General features: G+C 43.6%; 1 protein-coding gene across 11 annotated transcripts in view; it reads right to left on the reverse strand.

Moving 5' to 3' along the window:
* Nucleotides 1-21,709, reverse strand: part of PTPRT (protein tyrosine phosphatase receptor type T) — a 1,158,017-nt gene that overhangs the window by 434,616 nt on the left and 701,692 nt on the right. For all 11 annotated transcript variants that reach the window (XM_047439848.1, NM_001394024.1, NM_007050.6 and 8 more), the window contains exon 8: nt 5,761-6,057. In XM_047439848.1, coding sequence (XP_047295804.1) covers nt 5,761-6,057 — 297 coding nt within the window. The remainder of the gene's footprint in view (nt 1-5,760; nt 6,058-21,709) is intronic.

Consider the following 21,709-nt stretch of genomic DNA (forward strand, 5'->3'; position numbering starts at 1 on the left):
TCTTTAACCTAACTTAGTATAATAGCTTTATTGTTTTTTAGAGGGATTGGTGTTGTAATTCTGAAACTATTTTATGTGTGTTTCAGGAAATGAAAACTATGTGGATGTTGAGCACCAGGGTTCTCACTGCAGGAGAAGGAAGATATATGTATAAAATGTGTTGAATTTGAATCAGTATGAGCTCATGACTTAAAACAAAAATAAATTATACTCCCTAGCTCTACCTACTGAAAGAACCTACAGGCAATAACGCATCACCGAGCACACCTAAGATGTATATCTTAGTGCCAAAATACCACTCCCCATTGAAAGCAACCACAAATCCCTAATAAGTGGTTGGCCTCAGGTCTGGGGCAGGGACATTAAAAGAATAGTCTAGAATATTTTTGTTGTGCCAGAAGCAAGGAAGACTAATGAGAACATGTCAAAAGGACCTGGGAATCAGCTTGAAGAGACTGCCACTGGCCATATTTGAGGCAATTTGAGCATCACAGAGAATGGCAGTAGAGGATTTCAATACACGGAGTCAAAAATGATCTATGAATCAACAGGGAGACCAAAAACAGGGAGGAAGATGAAGAGAGAAACAACTCTTCTCTAAAGAAGAAGGCTAACTAGTAAGCGTAGGGAGAATTATAGATGTTTAAATCACCCTTTTGTAAGCACCAACGTAATAACTGGTTCAGGTGAAGACTCTCAGGACGTGTTAAAACCATTGAGTGAAAGCTTTAGGGGAATACAATACTCATTCCATCTCAAAGTTTCACTCCAAGGATACTTTACAAAAGAAAAAAGGTGCCACATTTACAGTGGAGGGACCGGGCAGTTCTTGTCTTATCTAAGTGACCATATGTGACATCATCAGTACTGGGACTCCCTGACATTATGAACTTCTTGACAAAATACAATGAGAAATATACATCGCCAACATAATGGTTTTGCCAAAGATATACGGAACCCTGGTTCTGTCACATAGAATCAGGTTAAATATTATTAGAAATGTAAACAAACTGTATATTACATGATTTTAAAATTAATGCAAAATTTATTAGAGGTTAAATAGCATTGTGGGTATGTAGCATAAAGTTCTTATTTTTAGGTCTTGTATGCTAATTGGTTTAGAAATCAACTGTCATGATTTCTGCACTTTACTTTCAAATGGTTAAAATATTGTATGTATTCATAAATATATTTACATAGCATATGTCACCTATCATGTAGATATAAGATACACACACATGAGTAAATGCAGCAAAGTGTTTACAAATGTTGAATCTAGATGAGAGGTTTATAAGTCTCCTTTGTACTATTCTTTCGATTTTTCTAGCTTTGAAAATTTTCACAATAAAATCTTGGGCTAAAGGAGTACAGGAGCCACTGTATATAATATGTCTATCCGTGCCTAGCACAGTGTAGGTGCTCAATAAATAGCAGTCAAAGTGAGCTGCCAAGCAAAACCATCAACATGGTTTTCATCTTTCAAGGTGCAAGCGAACTGTGGTTTTGTCTGAGACATTTGTGGAAAAGGGAAAAATAAAGAATCTGTTTAGTTTCTTATGAACAGCTGCTACCCAAATGAAGCCATGGGGCTCAGCAGCCATGAGCTGCTCTCTAGTGCTGGATTTCTTCGCAGGCCGTCAAATGCACTGAGGTGCTGAAATTACAAATTCTGCAAATTCCCCAGAAGACAATTTTGTGGCACGGATGACAGCAGCATGAATTCAGCCATTCAGCCAACTCAATCCTAAAGGTTGCTTGCTGGCTCCCGGAGGGGGGTTTCAGTTAATCTACTAGAGCCACGCTCTAGCCTCATCTTGTCCTTGAGGTGAACGAGTTACCCAGCCAACAGAAGTGGTGCTTCCTCTCTCTTTAGAAAGAATGGAACTTAACCCTGGCATACAGCAGGGTCCTACACTGAGACTCTCCTTCAGTCCAGTGGGTTTTGAGGCAGAGCCTCAGAATACAGAACTGAGGAATCATGTCTCGTATGTTGGTGTTTTTAGTAATGATAATGTCCACACATCTCCATAGAGCAGGAATTGATGCTTTATTAATGATGTTTAATTAAAATTTAATTTCAAAGCATTCCTGCTCTCATGTTGTTTTGATAAAGGCTTTTTTTTCTTGGTGACAGGAAGAAGAAAGAGAGAAGTTAAGGAACGCCTTAAAGCTGGACTTGGGGTTTGCTGAGGCACAGGGAGGTAATCCTCAAAGAGCAGCTCAAGGTGGGCAAAGAATCTTTAAAAAGGTGCCCTGAGCTGCTCCTTGGGAAAACCTTATTGTTCATCTCCTGAGTCCTGAATTTTCATGCTGATTTTCAGCAGTGACTTCTCCCTCTCTAACAACCAGGAATTCCCTGTGAATATGAGTCACTAAACCATCCTTTTGCCCTGACTCTGTTTCTCATATCAGGCACCAAGCACACTGCCACTTTTTGAGCATCTACAGTGTATTTCCCACAACCAGTTAGATTTCTAGATGTCTGGACATGTCTACAGCTCTGAAGAGGTTTCCTAGGGGAGCTGGGAAGTTTCTCAACTGCCGGGGATAGATGCTCCTTTGTGAATACCTTTTTGTTTTTTTTTTCTCCTGTGATTCACCACAAATATAGTACCTTATAACATGCTGGGTATTAGTCCAATTTCTTTATATACCATGCCACTTAATGTGCACGAGAATCTATAAGATAAGTACTTTAATTATTCCTTTTTTGTTTGAGACAGAGTCTCGCTCTGTCACCCAGGCTGGAGTGCAGTGGCGCGATCTCGGCTCACTGCAACCTCCGCCTCCCAGGTTCAAGCGATTCTCCTGCCTCAGCCTTCTGAGTAGCTGGGACTACAGGCATGTGCCACCATGCCCAGCTAATTTTTTGTATTTTTAGTAGAGATGGGGTTTCACCACAGTAGCCGGGATGGTCTCAATCTCCTGACCTCATGATCTGCCCTCCTCAGCCTCCCAGAGTGCTGGGATTACAGGGTGAGCCACCATGTCTGGCCAATTAATTCCATTTTACAGATGAGGAAACAAAGGCACTAAGAGGTTAAACAACTTGTCCAGGCATGCTTGGCTCCAGAGTGTACATTGTCTGACAGCGCACAATTCTACCTGCTGGAGGAAGGGGCTACAGATTTCTGAAACAATGAAGTCAGATCTAGGGAAATCTTCCTAGAACTGGAAGTTTTACAGAGTCTACTCCAAGGATGACCCCAAAGACCAGTGTGTGGGGTCTGCAAAGAGGATGGCTACGAGGATGAACTGGAAGGGTGTAAGGGAGGGATGGATCATCAAAGTAGACTGTGTAAAACTTCCAGATCTAGGATGGGACATGGTGGAAGTGAGAATTAGGGGCAGGGTGAGAAGAGGCTGGCACTATTTCCCTTGTCTTCTCATGAGATTTTGCAGCTGAGAATGTGAATCTGGGTTCTACTCAGGGTCATAACTCTGAAGTATTTAGAACTCGCTTAGATGAAACAAGAGTACTAGATCCTACTGAATCCCAGGAACACACAAAGAAAGAAGAAAATGAAAATGAAAAAAAGAAAACATGTCCTAAACAGAATTGCCACAGTAGAGGCTCTGTCTTCAAGTTCTAAGGCTAATCTGAGTCAAGCCGGGTATTTTCTTTATGCAGCTGACAATGCCAGTGCTCTGGCTAGACCTTTCAGACCTCTTTATACAATTTTTGTGAGACTCTATCCTTTACCTGCACATGCAGAGAGACAAAAGTTACTGAAATTTTACCTCTGAATCTCTCCTCCCCATCCCAGACCCTAACTGTTGGCTGGCAGCTTCCTTGCCTAACTTAGGACATCTGTGATGCATGGCCCACCCTGAACAGTTCCCTGAAGGCTCAGGTTGCAGCCAGTTTTTGCTGGACTTGGCCAAAAGTTGCACCTTGGCTTTCTCCCCTTCCTTGTCCCACTTCCCTCACTCCCCTCCCAGTCTCCCCTGGGAAAACTTTCTTAATCAGTCACATGCACACGAATCTTCATCTGAGTCTGATTCTCAGGAACTATCTAAAGCCATCCCACAAGGCAAGAGGCAGCCTGGGCTGGCTGGAGGGGAAACTGAAATATGGTCATGGGGAAGTGTTTCTTAGGTAAGCCCTGGAACTGGCGAATTCTATGCTATCACTAAGGTAACTGCGGTGAGCCTGGGAAGAAACATCCAAGTCAATCTGGGGCAATCAAGGAAAGCTTCCTGGAGGAAGTAACATTTGAGCAAAGACTTGAAAGGTCAATAGAGGTTTCCTTGCAAACATGGAGGACAGGTCATTCCAAGCAGGAGAAATGGCATGGGTAAGGACAGAGAGGCAGGAAAAGTTATGTGTTCTAGCAGTAGTGGCTCTAGGTTCTTGGAGTCTCAAGTTATGAGGAAGATAAACTGCAGGAAGCATACCCATTAGAAATGGGGGTATGGAGGTGGGGTGGGTTTGGGAGGGAGACATGGAGGCTCCTAGGCTGGCTTTCAGGTCTCTATCTTGAGTTACTAGGTGCAGTTCATTGAGATAAGGAATACAGGAAAGTCAGTATAGAATTGGAGATTAGTTCAATTTCAGATACCTTGAGCTTGAGATGACTGTCATCCAGCCAGATGAATATTCAGTTCTGGGTGGATCCAATGTGTACGCTAAGCTTTTTATATCTATTTTCTGTTTTTAATTCTTACATAATTCAGCATTGTCTGACTTCCAAATTCAACATGTTTAAACAATGTGATACATGTTTTATCTTTCTGGAGGCATCAGTGCAGTCAAACCTTGGACAGAGAAGGTGGTTGATATAGTTTGGGTATTTGTCCCCTCCCAAATCTCATGTTGAACTGTAATCTTCAGTGCTGGAGGTGTGATTGGATCATGGAAGTGGATCCCTCATGGGTTGGTGCTGTCTTCGCGACAGTGAGTGAATTCCCCGGAGATCTGGTTAAGTGTGTGGCACCGCCAATCTTTTGCGCCTGCTTTGGCCACGTAGTGTTCCTGCTCCTACTTCATCTTCCACCATGAGTAAAAGCTCCTCAGCCTCCCCAGAAGCCAAGCTATGTCAGTGCTATGCTTTCTGTACAGCTGCAGAACTGTGAGCCAATTAAACCTCCTTTCTTTATAAATTACCCAGTCTTTATAAATTACCCAGTCTCCGGTGTTTTTTTTGTTTTGTTTTGTTTTTTTGGTAGAGATGGAATCTCACTCTGTTGCCCAGGCTGGAGTGCAATGGTGCGATCTCGGCTCACTGCAACCTCTGCCTCCCAAGTTCAAGCAATTCTCCAGCCTCAGCCTCCTGAGTAGCTGGGACTACAGGCACACGCTGCCACGCCTGGTAATTTCTTTTGTATTTTAGTAGAGACAGGGTTTCACCATGTTGCCCAGGCTGGTCTCAAACTCCTGAGATAGGCAATCCACCTGCCTCAGCCTCCCAAAGTGCTAGGATTACAGGCATGAGTCACCACACCTGGCCACAGGTATTTCTTTATAGCAATGCAAGAATGGTCTAATACACTGGTATAAAGCAAGAAGAGGGATGGGGGTACAAAAGGGCCAAAGCTGAGTGCAAGTCTATGGCAGAACTGTCACTGTGATGGGAAAGCACTCCCTGGAGTTGTGCAATGCACAGTTTACATAGTCCTTCATTGAAGGCCTAAGAAAAGAAAGGTGTGTGTGAGGGAATTAAAAATGTAGGAAAAATAAAAGCCTCATAACTGACTGCCATGGCCCTGTGAATAGATTCAATATCCCCATTCCCATGTAAGCTCTCCTCCCTTGCTCACCGTCTTCCTCAGTCTGCACCACCAGCTCCTCGCTCTCCATTCGGCCCTCGGGGTTAGACAGCAAGAGTCGCAGCCGGATGGTCATGAAGGGGCGCAGGCCTCGCAGGGTGTAGTGGGAGGAGGTCTGGATGACCTCCTCGGCCTCGTACTGCTGCTGGTTGAACACATACTGGTACTGCACGGTGAGGTTGTAGCTATGGCAGCGGGTCACCGCGTAGCCGAAGGGCTCCCACTGCAGGGTCAGCTGCCGGGCTCTGATGTCTACGATTTCCACGTTCTGTGGGCCATGTACCGGATCTGCAAAACATGCAGGCAAGAAACAAGGGTTCTGAAGAGACCATCGGGAAGCTGGGGTACATGTTCTGCTACAACAGGGAACACAGCTTTTCCAAACATATCTCCACCATTCAATCACTGCCATCATGATTTTTGACACAGGCAATATAATTTAGAGAACATTTTTCTTTACATCAATCTCCCTTGTCTTATTTAAATACATGCATCTAATAGAAAACATAAATATATAAAAGGAAAACATCTTAAATAAATGTTAACCATAAAAATAAATGTGAAATTGTTAAATTCTTAAGGGTGCATCAAAGTGCCACTGAAAACCTTCTTGGTACCACACACAGCACACTCCTCGCTTCTGGGATACGCTTATTTAGACGGCTGCTGAGAGCTGACCTGCCTCCTTATACTGAATTCAGCCCCAGCCTGTCCCCTTGGAGGTCAGCCTCTCCTCTTCAGCCAACAACATCCAGATGCACTAGCTGGAAACTGAGTCACAGCCTCAACCCGCAACACCCAGTTTATCCATGCGTTCATCATGACCCATTAACCCTGCTTTAGGATTTCCTCTCCTTTCCTTGACTACACAGTTCATCATTTCCTAACCTCCTACAACAGTCTTCCATCCCTCTTTTTCTCCCCTGGTCCCTCTGGGAACATCATTCTAAAAGCTAATCTGAGCATGCCTTCTCACCCTAATGCTGTCTCCCACTCCATGCCTCCTATTGATCTTGGTCCCAGATCACCATACATAATGTTGTCTATGTCTAATTTTATTAGGAATATTCTATTTATACTTTATGCACATTAAATAGATTTTTTTAATATAAAACAGGTTATAATAAACATGATGTTTTTCAAAAATCCTCACATGTAAAGCTCATTTTATGTTGAGGTTTAGGCATTTGTCTTTGGGGTGGCTTGTTTTGTTTCTTTGAGATGGGAGTCTGACTCTCTATCCTAGGCTGGTGTACAGTGGCACAATCAGAGTTCATCCCAGCCTCAAACTCCTAGGCTCAAGCAATCATGATCCTCTAGCCTCAGCCTCACATGTAGGTGGGCCTACACCATGCTTGGCTAATTTTTTATTTTTATTTTTTCACATATGGGGTCTCTCTATGTTGCCCAGGCTGGTCTCAAACTCCTGGGCTCAAGTGATCCTCCTGCCTTGGCTTCCCAAAGTGATGGGATTGCAGGCACCATCCACCATGCCTGGCTCTTGGGTCAGGCATTTGTTATGTTAGAAACATAACTTCTCATGTGATAGATACACCCAGAAATTCTTGTGTCAGACTTTCTTATCTGGGAGGAGTCAGGCACAGGCTGGAGATTAAATCAGTACTTCTCCCCATACCTACAGAACTTTGCCCAATTATGTATCCTCTTTGGATCCACTTTTTAATTCATTTGTAAAATGATGATAATAATAGTAGCTAACCTCATGGCAGGGGGAAGAGGAAGTTAGATGAGATGCTTGTAAAGCAGTTAGAACTCAAACTTAATAAGCACTCTACGTATGATAACTGGGGTGTGTTGTTTGTTTTGCAGTAATAGTAATAATATATATGTAATAGTAATAATAATAGTGTTCCGCATGCTGTGTCTACCTTGAATGCCTTGTGAGTGGCAGTGCTGGGAGCACCCTTATGCAAAATGATGGACTAGGTTTCCATCATTGCTCCAATCCCCTCAGAGCATTTAAGGGTAAGGCTACCTCTGCACCAATGCAGCAATAAGAAAGAGGGGATGCTATTGGTGCTAGTTGATCTGTCCCTATGGGGAAAATATCCTGTAACTTGTGTCGGCGTCCTACCAAGGAACATAGTTCACAGGAATGTCAGGGAACCTGGCAAGCCCGCACAGAGCTGCCCACGTGGCTGCAGGAGTGAGGGTGTTGAGGATAGTGGGCAGCCCTGGCCCCTGATCAACTGAGGAATTCATGATCACTCTTACAGCCCAATTATTCATGCTCACAGGTCCTTTGGGCAAAGCAGAGCCAGCATCCCCAAATCAAATGGGTGACCCTGAGAATGTGACATTGAACAAGCTGTTGCTGAGGGCCTATTGTGGAATGGAAGGTGAAATGTGGTCCCTGTAGCTGGGGATTATGATTGGTGGGATTACGGCTGCTGGCTAAACATCTCGCAGTTGTACCGACTGCAATGAGAGCAGATGTACAGGCACACAGAGAGCAATAAATGGCTTGCCTGGGAAGCCCCGAGCATCCCCATCAGCGTTGCCTAGCTGGGGCCTGTCCACTTGTCCAGGTGCCAGAACTCTCCTGGCAGAGAGCCACTGCCCCTGCTCAGGGCCTCTTCGACACTCCTCCCCTGGGTTTGCCCTCCAAACTGATGCCAAGCCCCAATACAACAGTCACCCACATGGCACTCTCACCTCCCTCCTGAGGCAGGGAGAAGAGGAACACTTAAGACCCATTTAAACCCAAGGCTAAGACCACATGTTATTGAACATCTTAAAATGTACCATATCTCATGTTAAATATAATTTTTGAGGTCTTTATTATGGCCTTAACCCACAAACAAAGCTATAAAGACAAAACACCACTGATGGAACTGTAGCCACAAGTGCTGGGCTCTATCTTCTGAACCATCTTATGACCCTAGGAGGGAAGGATGGCCCACCCCACATTACAGATGAATAACCTGAGGTCCAGAAATGTGCAGGAATTAGTACAGAGTAGCAAGGCCAGCAGGTGACAAAGTGCGGTTTTGAACTTGTGTCTGCCTGACCCCACATGTAGTGTGCAAAGTAAAAACTCTCTGTAAGCTATCAGTTGCACTCTCTATGTTGAAAATCTCACTACCTGGGAGGAAGGCATCACTAGCTCTGTCCTAGAGGAAACCAAAGCTCTTTGAGACAAAATAATTGGCCTAAAGCCACAGAGTGAGAGGCACAGCCAAGATATGAGGTCTGCCAGAGTAGAAAACCTGTGTTTTCTCAGCACCTTGACGCCACCGGAGACTGAGACCAGGGAAAGAACATAAATATGAGGCATGTCGCCTTCATCAGAAGTCTGGGGAGACTTGAAGACAATAGTGAGAGAAAGCCAAAATACTACAAGGCAAAAATGACTTGGGTCTCAGGAGCCTAGGACCTGCGGGAGAGAGTGGTACAGTGATGTAAACACATTTAGTGCAAAGCTGACCGCTGGCCTTTTGATCCCTGGTCTCCATTCTCCCTGGAGCTCACCTCTGGAGGTGTGCATATACACACATTTCTGCTCCTCTTAAAGGACTAAACAGGAGCATCTTTTTAAAGAAGACAAGGATATCGTGATCTTGCCACACAGCAAAGAGACTCTTTGAGACCGGGAAAGTTGGGATACAGGAAAAGCCACTTGTTCCCTCTTGAGCATGTGTGACTGTCACGGCGGGCCCCGGGTACAGTGCTGCTGACTAGAGCGTGGCTTGAAGCGAGACTCTGGCACTCACTATCTGGGTGACCTTGGGCAAGGGCACTTCATTGCTGAGCCTCCATCTCCTCATCTATAAAGTGGAAATTATTACACTAGTCTCAAAAGGTTGTTAATGAGCATAAAATGAACTGTAAAGAGAGAGAAAATTGCCTTTGGCTAACAGTAGGTACTCCTTTTAGAGAGAATTGCCTTTCTTGGAGAAATGCCTTTGGAAGCTTGTGTGGGGTAGAAGCTGCATTCTTGGGGCCTCAGTATCACTTATGCTGAGACTCCAGTGGAAGAGAAAAAATAAACCCACTGGGGGCTTGGATAGCATAAGAGAGGTGTGAGGGTGAACAAATGGCAGAATATTGGGTGAAGCCCAATATGATCACTCCCCAGGTGATTTTTAGATCTCCAGCAAGGCCCTCAAAATACAACAAAGACCTTTGCTGTGCCTGGATCTCCTGTGGGTTCTAGAAAGGGTTGAGGTCGGCATGCCTTGGGCCTAATAAGATACCACGTGGGAACACAGGGACCAGAGGCAAAGGAACCTTGGAAAATGTGCTCATGTGTGTTACTGAAATCTTGGGAGATGATTTTGGGGAGATGATTTTTCTACTGGCTATGAAAATTCAGAGATTCAAGGAAATCTCAGTTTGTATTCCAAAGGCAAGAAGGACTCTGGTGAACCTAGAGATTCGGTACCTGCAGGTGAAAGCATTTTGTAAATCTGAGAACTCGCATTCAGGAAAGGGAAAGACAATGGCTATTAAGTAGCAACTCTGGGCTAGGAGCTACCCTTAGCACTTGTGTCCTAAAAACAACTCGACGGTATAGGAAGTTGAGACTCAGTGAAGAGATGTAACTTACCCAGGGCCACATGGCCGAGCCCCCATTCTCTGGGCTCCCATGAATGGGTCAGTTACACATGTATGCACACAAGCCTGTCCCGAACATGTGCAAAATCACAGATGGGTCTGGGATAAGAATACACATTTTAGTCTGTAGCCCCTTCCCCCTTCTCCTTCCACCAAACTGCATCTCTTCCTGCAGGGGGCCTCACATATAAGTGTGCAGCGACCTCAGTCCTCAGGTGCAAGCTCTGTCCACTTCCCCCAGACATCCACTCTTTGGCCATGGCACTTTGCACTGTTGTCCAACACACACTTAGCATTTGTCACACTGCCCAGGAATTGCTTGTTCATGTGTTTGTCCCCCCTCTCAGGCTGCAACAGACCATGTTCTGTTTGCCAGTAACCTCACAACGTGGCACAGGGTCTGTCAAGGGGCAGTTCCTGTGAGATGAACAGATGGTGACCTGTTCTTGGGAACTGAGCTCAGACTCTCTGACTCCACAGTCCTTGTTCTGTCCCCTTCAGCATGTCAGCCAGGTCTTTAAGGGTAATATATATATATATATTTTTTTTGCATTCAAGCAAGAGAATATCCTGAAATCCTATTCAATGGAAACTAGGTTTTAGAGTGTGATGGAAGCATTCATGCTTTCAGTCCGACCCCTCTAAACCTCATCTGCCAAACCCAGCTTCTGCTGGGTAATTGCCTGCAGCATGGAGAATCTGGGGTTTACATTCGGGTTGGTGCAAACAAGTTGGAAATTGCTAAGAAAGCCTTGTGTGTGCAGTGGAGATTGGTTTGTTGAATTTACATCCCCCGTGTAAATACAGCCAAGCCTAGAGCCTATGGTTTCTGCCTCCAGATAAAGCCCTGTCCGTATGACCTTCTTGAGTAATAGCCCACAGGCCAAGAAGATGACAAACAGTGGGAAGAGTGTGGCTTGTCTGGGAAGCTGGAAAACCATCCTCTGATAGAAAATCAAAGTGGCTCTACCTCTGGATGCACCTTCTGTATGCTCTTAGGCTAGACAACAGTGGCCTTGTCCTATGCCCTGTACTTTAGAGAGCCACTTTGGCCCACTTCAGACTGTCCCTCTTCTCGGAGCAAGGGATCGGGGGCCAATGGGCTGGCCAAAGGATCTGGTTCTGTCCTCTCCCTTCTGGTCCAGGCTCCACATTTATGACCCCCTAGAATTCCCTGCCACGAGGCCCTACACTCAGTTTCTTCCTTTGTTCTGTCCTTCCTGTGAGTGGCCGTTGGCCTAAGGATGGCCAAAGGATGGCTGTCTGGGGGCAGTGGACAGAACTTGCACCTGAGGACTGAGGTTGCTGTGCACACACATATGTGGGGCCCTTGTGGGGAGAGATGTTGTTGGGTGAAAGGAGAAGGGGGAAGGGGCCACGGGCTGACATTTTTATTCCTATCTCAGATTCTGTGATTATGCACATGTTAGGGACAGGCTTGTGTTCATGCATGTGTGACTGACCCACTCAGGTTTTCAGAACCTTCTCCATTCTTACTGTGGCCTCAGGAAGGCACGGTGGTCCTCCTCACCTCTGAACCCTGCTCCTCTTTCTACATCAGCTCTTATTAAAGCACCATGTCCATCCTGAAGTACCATTTTCATCCTAATACCCGAGCCCACCCTGCAACAGGTACCTTCCTGCCCCCAAATGCCCCTGAGTCATTTTCCACTTCTCACTTATCAAATCCTGTATTCTTAAAGCAAAGCAAGGGATTATAAATGCCTTCACACCTCCAAGCCTCTGCCCAGCTATTTCCTCTGCTTGGGATGCCACCAACAAATCCTCATTCAATATTTTCAAGGCCCAGCTCCAATGCCACCCTTTACTTGTGACTTTCTCTAACAGTCTCCCTTGCCCATAATTAATGCCTCGATGACATTTTTTTTCCTTAACCTGCTATCATATGTCTCCCATAGCTCTTATCAGACTTCAGGGTTATTGTTCATATGTTTGGTTCATGTTCACCTCCACTGCCAACCTGTGAGCCCCTAGATCTCCTCATTTTATAACTATAACATACAGCTGCTGAATAAATGAATGAATAAGTACATAAATGAATAAATCTAGAAAGTAGTGATAGCTGAAGACCAAGCCACCCGAATTTAGGTGCTAATAGAGGGCAGGGGAAAAGCAATAAGTAGAGGGTTGAATCAGGATCTCCTTACACTCCAATTGTTAAGGGTAATCATGTGGTTAAGTCAGAATTGGCTCCCTTTTTTGTTCTGTATGGACTCAGCCTCCATCCCTGCTGTCAAAGGCAATAGCTGTAGAATCTTCTAATGACCTTAATCAAGGCAGAACATCTTATTAAAAAAGAAGCAGCAAAACAGATTTTCAATTCATGAATTTGCTACGTATTCATGTTTGCATGTGGAGTTGCCTGTAGCATATGTACTGTTCAAAGTTGAACCTAAATTAAGATAATTTGGGGATGGGGCTGAAAATGTGGAGGTGGATAGCTTGTATGCAAAATTAATTTTTTATCCATTTGGAGATGCAATTTGAGTTCTTTTCAAATTAAATTGCAATGGAGTCCTAGGCAGCTGGAAACATTATTGCCAACATAATTTGATACTGCAAGAGCAGAAATATGTTGACAGATAGTTCGATGTGACCATTAATTTGCACTTTCTGCATGGAAATGATACACGAAGGGAATAAAAAGGTAAGGGGAACAAAAATAAAATCCATCTTCTTTCCAGCATCATCGAAACCCACTCTCTTGCTTATTTTCCACCACCTCTTCTAATTTATTGCAGATGTTTGGTGGACAAGAATTTGTTGAATACTAGTTCACTATTCCTAAACCAAAAATCTGAAATCTGAAATATTCCAAAATCTGAAACTTTCTGAGTGCCAGCATGATGCTCAAAGGAAATGCACATGGGAATATTTCAAATTTCAGATTTTCAATAACAGGGATGTTCGACTGGTAAGTATAACACAAATCTTCCAAAATCTGAAACATTTCTGGTTCAATCATTTCAGATAAGGGATATTCAGCCTGTATTATCATAGATATCTTATAAATATAAGCAAGCATAGGAATCCAGGAGCTCCATTTGGAGATGCTGGTAATTCCACAATATAGAAGCACTAGATCCTACCCGTGCTGATGATTAGAATCACCTGAAGCTGGAGCATGTCACCTTGTGAGAAGGCAACACGGTTGCTACCCTCCCATAGCAATGCCACAGAGAAGGTAATCCACTCACGTGTTCATTGTCTCATTTCTTAATTGAAAACTACTCACTGAGCATGGAGGCATCATGACATGGGGAAAAGAACATTGGTTCTGTGATCACCTGAACCTAAGCACATCACTTACCCTACCTGTGTCTGTGCCTTATTTTTCTCATGTAGGAAACGTAGATGATACTCCTTCACTCTTAGGGCTATGAGGTGAATTAAGAAGATAATATATTCCAGAGCCTTGGATGGTACTAAATACAGTTGCACTCCCTCAAACCCAGAGTGGGAGGTGAGACAGAACAGCCACTGAGACAAACAGGGGTTGTGGAGGTTTCTGTGGATCTCTGACCTGGTTCTGAGTCTAGTTGACTACTGGCCTCATTCTTTTAACCAACTATAGTTTAGTGTTAGAAAGCTTCCATTAATGCCCTTGCAGTTATTGCTGTATCTACTCCTTCCATTCTACATACATATCCTGAACCTCTGAGATGGGCCAGGCATTAGGGATGTAGGTGAATGGGACACTTGCTTGCCTTTGTGAAACTGATGCTAGGGGGATGCAATAATTTTGAAGGATGATATGATGAAGCTTGATAAGTCTTTTGCAGGGGAAGTACTGGGCTTCTGGACAATAGATACAGTACAGCATTGAAACCCAGCTAAGCCAATTTGATGATGACGCATGCACAACCCTGACATTCGTTATCATAGAAACCAAAGCCATCAAAGAAATTTAAGGTGAACGAGGATTAACGATTCCCCAACAACTGCATTATTAGATGATAATAAAAGCAAGCCTTAGGCCAAATTCTACTACACAGATGGACACAGTATACAAGCATTTATTAGCAAATGGGCACAAAACAGCTCAAACAATCTATTTCATAAAGTCCCAGCAATAGATGAATCAGTTACCATTTTTCATGAAAGGTTCATTCGAGGCAAGTACAACAATACTCTAAGGCAGAAGTAGGTGAGCTTTTTTTTTTTTTTAAGGGCCAGATAGTAAATATTTAAGGTTTTGCACCTTTGCAGGTTAGACAGTCTCTGTTGCATCTTTCCATCTCTGCTATTATAGTGCAAATGTAGCCATAGACAACATGTACGCAAAATAGGTGTGGCTGAGTTTCAATAAATGTTTATTTACAAAAAGCTAGAACCTTAGGCTATAGCATGCTTACTCTTGTTATGGAGGTAAAATAAATGACTATGATTGTCACTTTAGGCAGCCGGCAATCCTCCTAATCTCATGGCTAACACAGTACTGTTTAGGAATCAAGGTTTTGACACCATCCCTAAGGTCGAAGACTAGAGGTCTTACAGGATTATTCTTTATAATGTCCTTCTGGAGAGTATTTTAAAACCATTTTGGCCAACCCACATAGTTTAAATACCTTTCATTTCACCAATTAGAATTTACTTCTAACATTTATTATGCTAGTCCACAGGCCCTTGATTTCAACCACAGTAATCAATTGCTAATATTTAGTTTGCTAATTAGCAACATGGAGGTTGTTGATCAAGATATGGTATCAGAATAGTTGGGAAAATAGGCGTGTACTCATCACATCTGGTTAGTTTTTTTTAATTTTTTTTTTAGAGGCAAGTATCTCACTATTTGCCCAAGCGGGTCTCGAAATCCTGGCCTCAAGTGATCCTCCTGCCTCAGCCTGGGAGACAGAGCAAGAGCAAGACCGTGTCTCTAAAAGAAAAAAACCATACACACACAAACACACACACACACACACACACACACACGCGCGCATGTATATATATGGTTATCATATGTTATTTTGATATATGATATCAAAAGCATGTGGTGTACTTAGAGTTTTCTCTGAGGTATGGGTTCTTGACTGCAACACTAGTGTACTTATGGTGTGTTCTTGATTGTAAGGCTCTTAATACCGGTACTAGCTCTCAATAGCTTGACCAATACAACTCACCCATCACACCCCACTGTGTAAGCTTAAATATTTGAGATAAATTACCAACAATGTAATATTTAGTCTAGAGGCCAAGAATTCTTTCCTGAAAAAGGGACCTTGGGCAAAGGATGGATAGGATTAAACCAGGTAAAGGGGAAGAGTGTGTATAGAAGGGGACGAGAGAGGGAGAAAAGGGAGCGGGAAGATTAAGCCAGAGATAAAGGAGGCAGCACATTTAAAATCTAAGAGACAAGAGCAAGGAGGCTAATGGCCACAGAGATTGCCATGCTTGAGTGGACCGTCCACAAGAGCAGGAATCCCTGCCTTTCACCACACATGCACACCCCATAGTGATGTGCTAGGCCAGTCTGGGTGTTACACATTGGTCCTCCTACCATCCCTAAGAAGAAAATGAGGATAACAACTAGGGCAGTTGTAACAGTATGGTAAGAGTATTCTTTGCCAAAAGTAAAGCACTGGACAGAGTCATTTGTTTTGTATTTTGAGTTTCTACCATGTGCTGAGAACTATACTGGATGTAGGAGTGAACCAAACAGGCAAAAACCCTCTGTGCCCTTATGGTGTATATATTCTAGTGGGGGTAGGAGATTAAATAATATATCAGATAAATCAGAAAAGTATGTAACACATCAGATAGTAGTAAGTGCTGTGGAGAAAAATCAAGGAGGGAAGAGAGACTGGAGGGTTGGGAAAGGCTTATGTCTACAATTTTACTTCTTTGATTTGAGGCCTTGGCATCAGCTCCTTGATCTTTCCTGATCTTTCTTCTTCATTTACCCTGAAGTTTTTACTTTTTTTCCCACGGCTTAGCTCGAAATATTTTTTGAGCATCTATAGGGTGGCAAGCTAGTTTTGGGGGACATAGTGTTAACAAAAATAGACATAATTCCTGCCTCCTTTGCACTAAATCTGGTGAGAAAAACAGACTAAAACAACCATCATGGCAGCCAAACACATGAGCTAACCAAATTGCATGTGTTTTGAAGGAAATATAGATGTTATAATATGATGATAATGCAAATAAAAAGTGTTCTGAAGGAAACACAAGGGATCGATTGGATAAAAATGGCAAGCTATGTACAGTAGTCAGAGAAGACAACTGAAGAGGTGACATTTGGACTGAAAGGTGTCACTCTTCCCTCTCTATTCCCACTTCTCTCCCAGTTTTCACTCATTCTTCTTTGTTTTTGAGACAGTCTCGCTCTGTCACCCAGGCTGGAGTTCAGTGGCGTGATCTTGGCTCACTGCAACTTCCACTTCCCAGGTTCAAGGGATTCGCCTGCCTCTGCCTCCCAAATAGCTGGGATTACAGGCATGCCACCACGCTCGACTAATTTTTGTATTTTTAGTAGAGATGGGGTTTCACCACATTGGCCAGGCTGGTCTCGAACTCCTGAACTCAAGTGATCCACCCGCCTTGGCCTCCCAAAATAACTGGGATTACAGGTATGAGCCATCGTGTCCAGCCTCCACTCGTTCTTTAGGCCTTCCTTTAAACATTAGTTCTTCCGAGAAAGCTGTCACTCAAAAGCTTCTCTCGCCCAGTTGGGTATGTGTCCCACCCCATCCCACTCAGATGAATGTAAAATTGGGTCCAATCAGGGCTAGTCCAACAGCCCTATCCCATAGGTCCTCCAGTCAGTTTGGGGTACAGAGGGGGAACCCAGAGTCAAATATAATCCAGATTCACAAAGCAGCCTATTGACTGAGGTCATGGCCCTCGGGCCCACAGTAAGCACAAAAACTGCAGCCCAAGGGCCTTCAGCCAGTTATTCAGCCATTGTCTTTGGCTCCAAACATGCCCTCTGTATCTTGCTTTACGGTGCTAAGGCTAGGATGGCACAAATCACATGTGCTCTACTGTCTGGCTGCATGCTAGTATCTGCCCATAGGGGGCGATAGAGGGAGCCTGCGGGGCAGGAGGACGGGGAGACTTCAGCATCAGGTATCCAAGTAGCCAGTTCATTCTGTCACAGCATTTGGATCTAGCTTGCAGTTTCCCCAACACTTACAGAGCCAGCCTCATTGCAGCACCTCAGAGACACCAGCACCAGCCTCTTTTCGTTCTTTTCAACCCTGGCAGTAGCTGCTCCCCACAGTTGCCACCTTTGTCTAGTGTTTTCATGTTCTCTTTTAATGTTTTCCATTTTCTAGGCAATTCTTTATATACAGTTAACCAGAGGTTCACAGTGCCCTTGGTGTTTTGGTAATTTTTTTTTCCCACAGATCCTAAGCCAAAAAACATACCCAACAGTTTCATGTATTAGTTGTTGCAAACAACTTAATAAGTATTTGCGTCCTAACAAATAAGAAGTGGTTTGAGAAAACAGTACACACAAATCAAAATAAAGCTATTTTTTTCTTTCTTAACTACAATTACTCCCTAAAAGGATGCATGTATCTGTTGAGCATTACACAATTTCTCAAACTGAAGATTCAGATTAGACAGACACTGCCACTTTCGTTGCCTGTTCCATGTTGATTTTGGCACAAAACTTGCATTTCATCATGGCAATTGCCAGAAGCCCAATTCTGCCAAGATATGACATCAGAAGGAATGTAGCCCAATCTCATGTTGAAACTCTGGGCCCCTTCAAGTAGTCATTTGTAGCGTGTCTGACAGATGATGCTGTGTTTTCCACAATACTGGTACTACCGGTGCTCTTGTGAGTTAAGAGTGGTGTCTTACACTGTCTCAACACAGTTTGAAAACCAGGATAGTTAACAATTCTGTATAGGCAATTCTGTCTGTTATAAGTGTCATGATTTATCTCCAAAATAGACCTTGACTGATGCAGGACCCCACTGCCTAAACTTCCTTAATATTCCACGTTCCCATCTTTGTCTCCCAGTATTCCACTCAGCCTAGGCACCTCATGCCCAGAAATCTGATGTCCTCCTAGCTGCCACATTCTGCTTCCCAGCTCCATCTCAGACCTTGATCTTCCCTCTCTGCCCCATCCAGATGCAGTCCCCTGGACTGTGGCTGAGCCAGGGAGCAGGGTGGTCAGCTGTGTGCCTCCTGCCACATCAACTGCTCAAGTGCTCAAATGCTGGGAAGAATTAAAGGAACAGAGGCAAAAGACTGCAGCCTGAAGACAGAGACTTTGGAATGTTTAAAAATTACTTTTGCGCTAGAGGAAATCGGGTTGGGAAAAGAGAAGCAATTTTGAAATTACGTGGTTTCAGTTTCCAGAGAAAGGAAAAAAGATTTGGGGTGAAGAAAAGGAGAAGTCAAACCCATAACATCTGGGTTAGTTTCACTTCAATTCCCACTTGATTCATGGCAAGTCGCTTTATTCATTTAAAGAAATTAAAGGAAAAGAAGAAAAGCTGGAGAAAGAATAAAACCTGAAACATTTCTGATGGTCAAAAGCCACCTAGCACTGGGCCCTGGTGAGGTATTAAACATTCTAACACTTTACTTGTCCTGGCTGTGAACAATAGGGCACTGGAATTAGAAAAGTCTCAGCGTAGCTAATTTGCCATTACTGCCTAAGAAGCCATGTGTAAATCAAATTGTTTCTAGACTATGTAAAAACAAACAAAAGTAATATCTCCTAATTGGACTCTGATCGCCTCCCTTCTAGAAGTACTACCTTTTTTTTTCAGCTGGAGAATTTGGCTTTTCATATTCAGATCCAGGGTTTTTCAAAGCTGAGGCTGCTCATAGCTGACAACTCCCCCATCCCAGGACATTCTTGATCTTCCAAGGAATCACATTAATCTACAGACACTACTCAGGACTGCTGGACCTTGAAGAGCCCTGCTGTGTCAGCAGCCCCAGAAATGCCTACCAAGCTTTTTTATGATGTCCAAAGCTTTATTCTTTGAAATGTACAAGAGTGTCATTAAACTGAAGGAACACTTTCAAATGAAAACCACTGTCAGTTGAGGGAGGCTTATTTTCTGTCGAATCTCATTTGGGACTTACCTAGGCAATGAAAAAGGCAATTGACAAAACAAAGCTGTCCATCTCAGTTAACTTGTGGCAAACAAGAATGGAACCCCAGTAGAACACGGATCACAGTACAACAGTAGCTAGAAGACACATTATCTGACTGCTTGCCTCACTCACTTGCGAAGTACCTGCTGGCCTTGTTGAGCACCTCTCAGAAAAGATGAGGGGTTAAAATGCACATGGTCTGTTTCCTGACTGACCCCTCTAATAGGGGCTGACACTTGGCCATGACATTGTGAGACACAATCCTAGCACAGGCTTTTACATAAGCCACCAAATGATACTTCTTCATATCAGAATCTCAAAAATGATAGCTACTTTTCCTCCTTGACTTTCATTTTTGACTTAGCCTTCTAAGGATGGCCTCTACAAAATATAGAGCTCTCCTTAAATGTCATCAGTCTCGATGCCTTTTCCACTTTCCATCTTCCTCCATCTGCAAATAGTCTTGCTCAGATACTTGATGTTTTCACATTTTCTATCTCTTGCACATTAAAACTTATTTATGAACTGTGTGACATTGAAAAAATAATTTTACCCTTCCTGGCCCCAGATTTATATTTATACATACCTCCTACATTTCTTGTAGGGTTTAAATAAAATTATATGCATGCATTGTTAGTGGGATGTTGTCACCATAGTGCTGTATAACAAATCACCCCCAAAGCCACGGGTTTACAGCAACAGACATTTATTCTCAAGCTCATACATCTGCTTGTATAATCTCCTGGTGTGGATCAGCCAGGCATGGCTCCAGGCTATGAGTTGTGCCCAGGTCTGCCTGATGTATGCTTATTCTACAAACCAGGTTGAAGGAGCGGTAGCCCCTCAGAGTAAGTTCTTTCCATGATGAATGCACCAGAGCCGAGCCAAGCCAACCCATGTAGGAGCTCTTAAGGCCTCCCTCATGTCAAGCTTGCTAATACCATATTGAGAGAGCAAGTCACACAGGCAAGCTCAACATCAATGAAGCCACTCGTCCCACAGTTGGAAAGGGTGGGAGTAGCAGAGGTGAGTGAATATTTACTGAAAGATAACTCAAACTATCAGATCAATAGATGTGTATGTTTTGGTTAACATGACCGGCCAACACTCCTTCACATAGTACAGGCTTGATCCCCCGAGGGAGGAAAGTCTGACTTTGAGTCAGGTGTGTGGAGAGCCAGAAGATTCTGCTAAAGCCATAAGATTTAAGCAGTTTCCTGTTCTATGTTCATTTTAACTATTATGGAATGTGTCTCTTGGAGAGAAGGGCAGAAGTCTAATAGAGAGATCTGGAGAAGCCACCCTGGCATTTGCAGTCTTTGTCAATCTCAATATGAACATTCTCATCTACCAGCCAAACTGGTCAGATGAGTTCTTCCTGTCCTCAACTCCCAAATGCTGTCTCAGACCACATCCCTGCACACACACCCTGATATCCTCTGCCCCAAATCAAAACTCTACAGTAGGCAAAAATATCAGCCCCCAAAGAGGTTCACATCCTAATACCCAGAACCTGGGAATCTGTTATCTTACATGGCAAAAAGAACACTGTGAACGTGATTAAGGATCTTGAACTGGGGATATGATCCTGGATTATCCGGGTGGGCCCCATGTACTCATAAGGGTCCTTATAAGAGGGAGGCAAGAGGGCAGAGAGGAGAAATGATGTTAGGCTGACAGCTTCAAGGATGGAGAAAGAACAGCAAGCAAAGGCATAGAAGTGGCCTCTAGAAGCTGGAAAAGGCAAGAAACAGATTCTCCCCCAGAGTCGACGGAAGGAACACAGCCCTGCAGACCTATCTCAGACTTCTGACCTCCAGAACAATAAATCAGTGTTAACTGCTACGCTTATGGTGAATTGTTATAGCGGCAAGACGAAACTAACACAAACCTCAAAGATTGCTCTGCTTATTTCTGTATGTTTATTGACACTCTTCACTTTCACTGCCTTCCTTCTGTAGACCCATTATGTTTTATACACTGTCTTCTGCCCGAATGAGTTCTTGTAAAATACATGTAATTGTTTACTATGCATGTATTTTTAATTATGTAGATTGGAATGTGTTCTAGCTCGTTTACCTTTTTGTCACTCAGCACTACACTTCTGACATCCACCCAGGCTGCTGTGTGCCCTTATTTCATGATTTTCAACCATTGCATGGGGTTCTGGGGTGTGTTCTCTCCATCATTTATCAATCTGCTCCCCACTGACAGACACTGTTTGCTTCTTACTCATCACTGTCAGAAATCACACTGTAGTAGACCTTCTCAG

The sequence above is a fragment of the Homo sapiens genome, chromosome 20 (genome assembly GCF_000001405.40).
Source record: "Homo sapiens chromosome 20, GRCh38.p14 Primary Assembly".
Classification (NCBI taxonomy): Eukaryota; Metazoa; Chordata; class Mammalia; order Primates; family Hominidae; genus Homo; species Homo sapiens.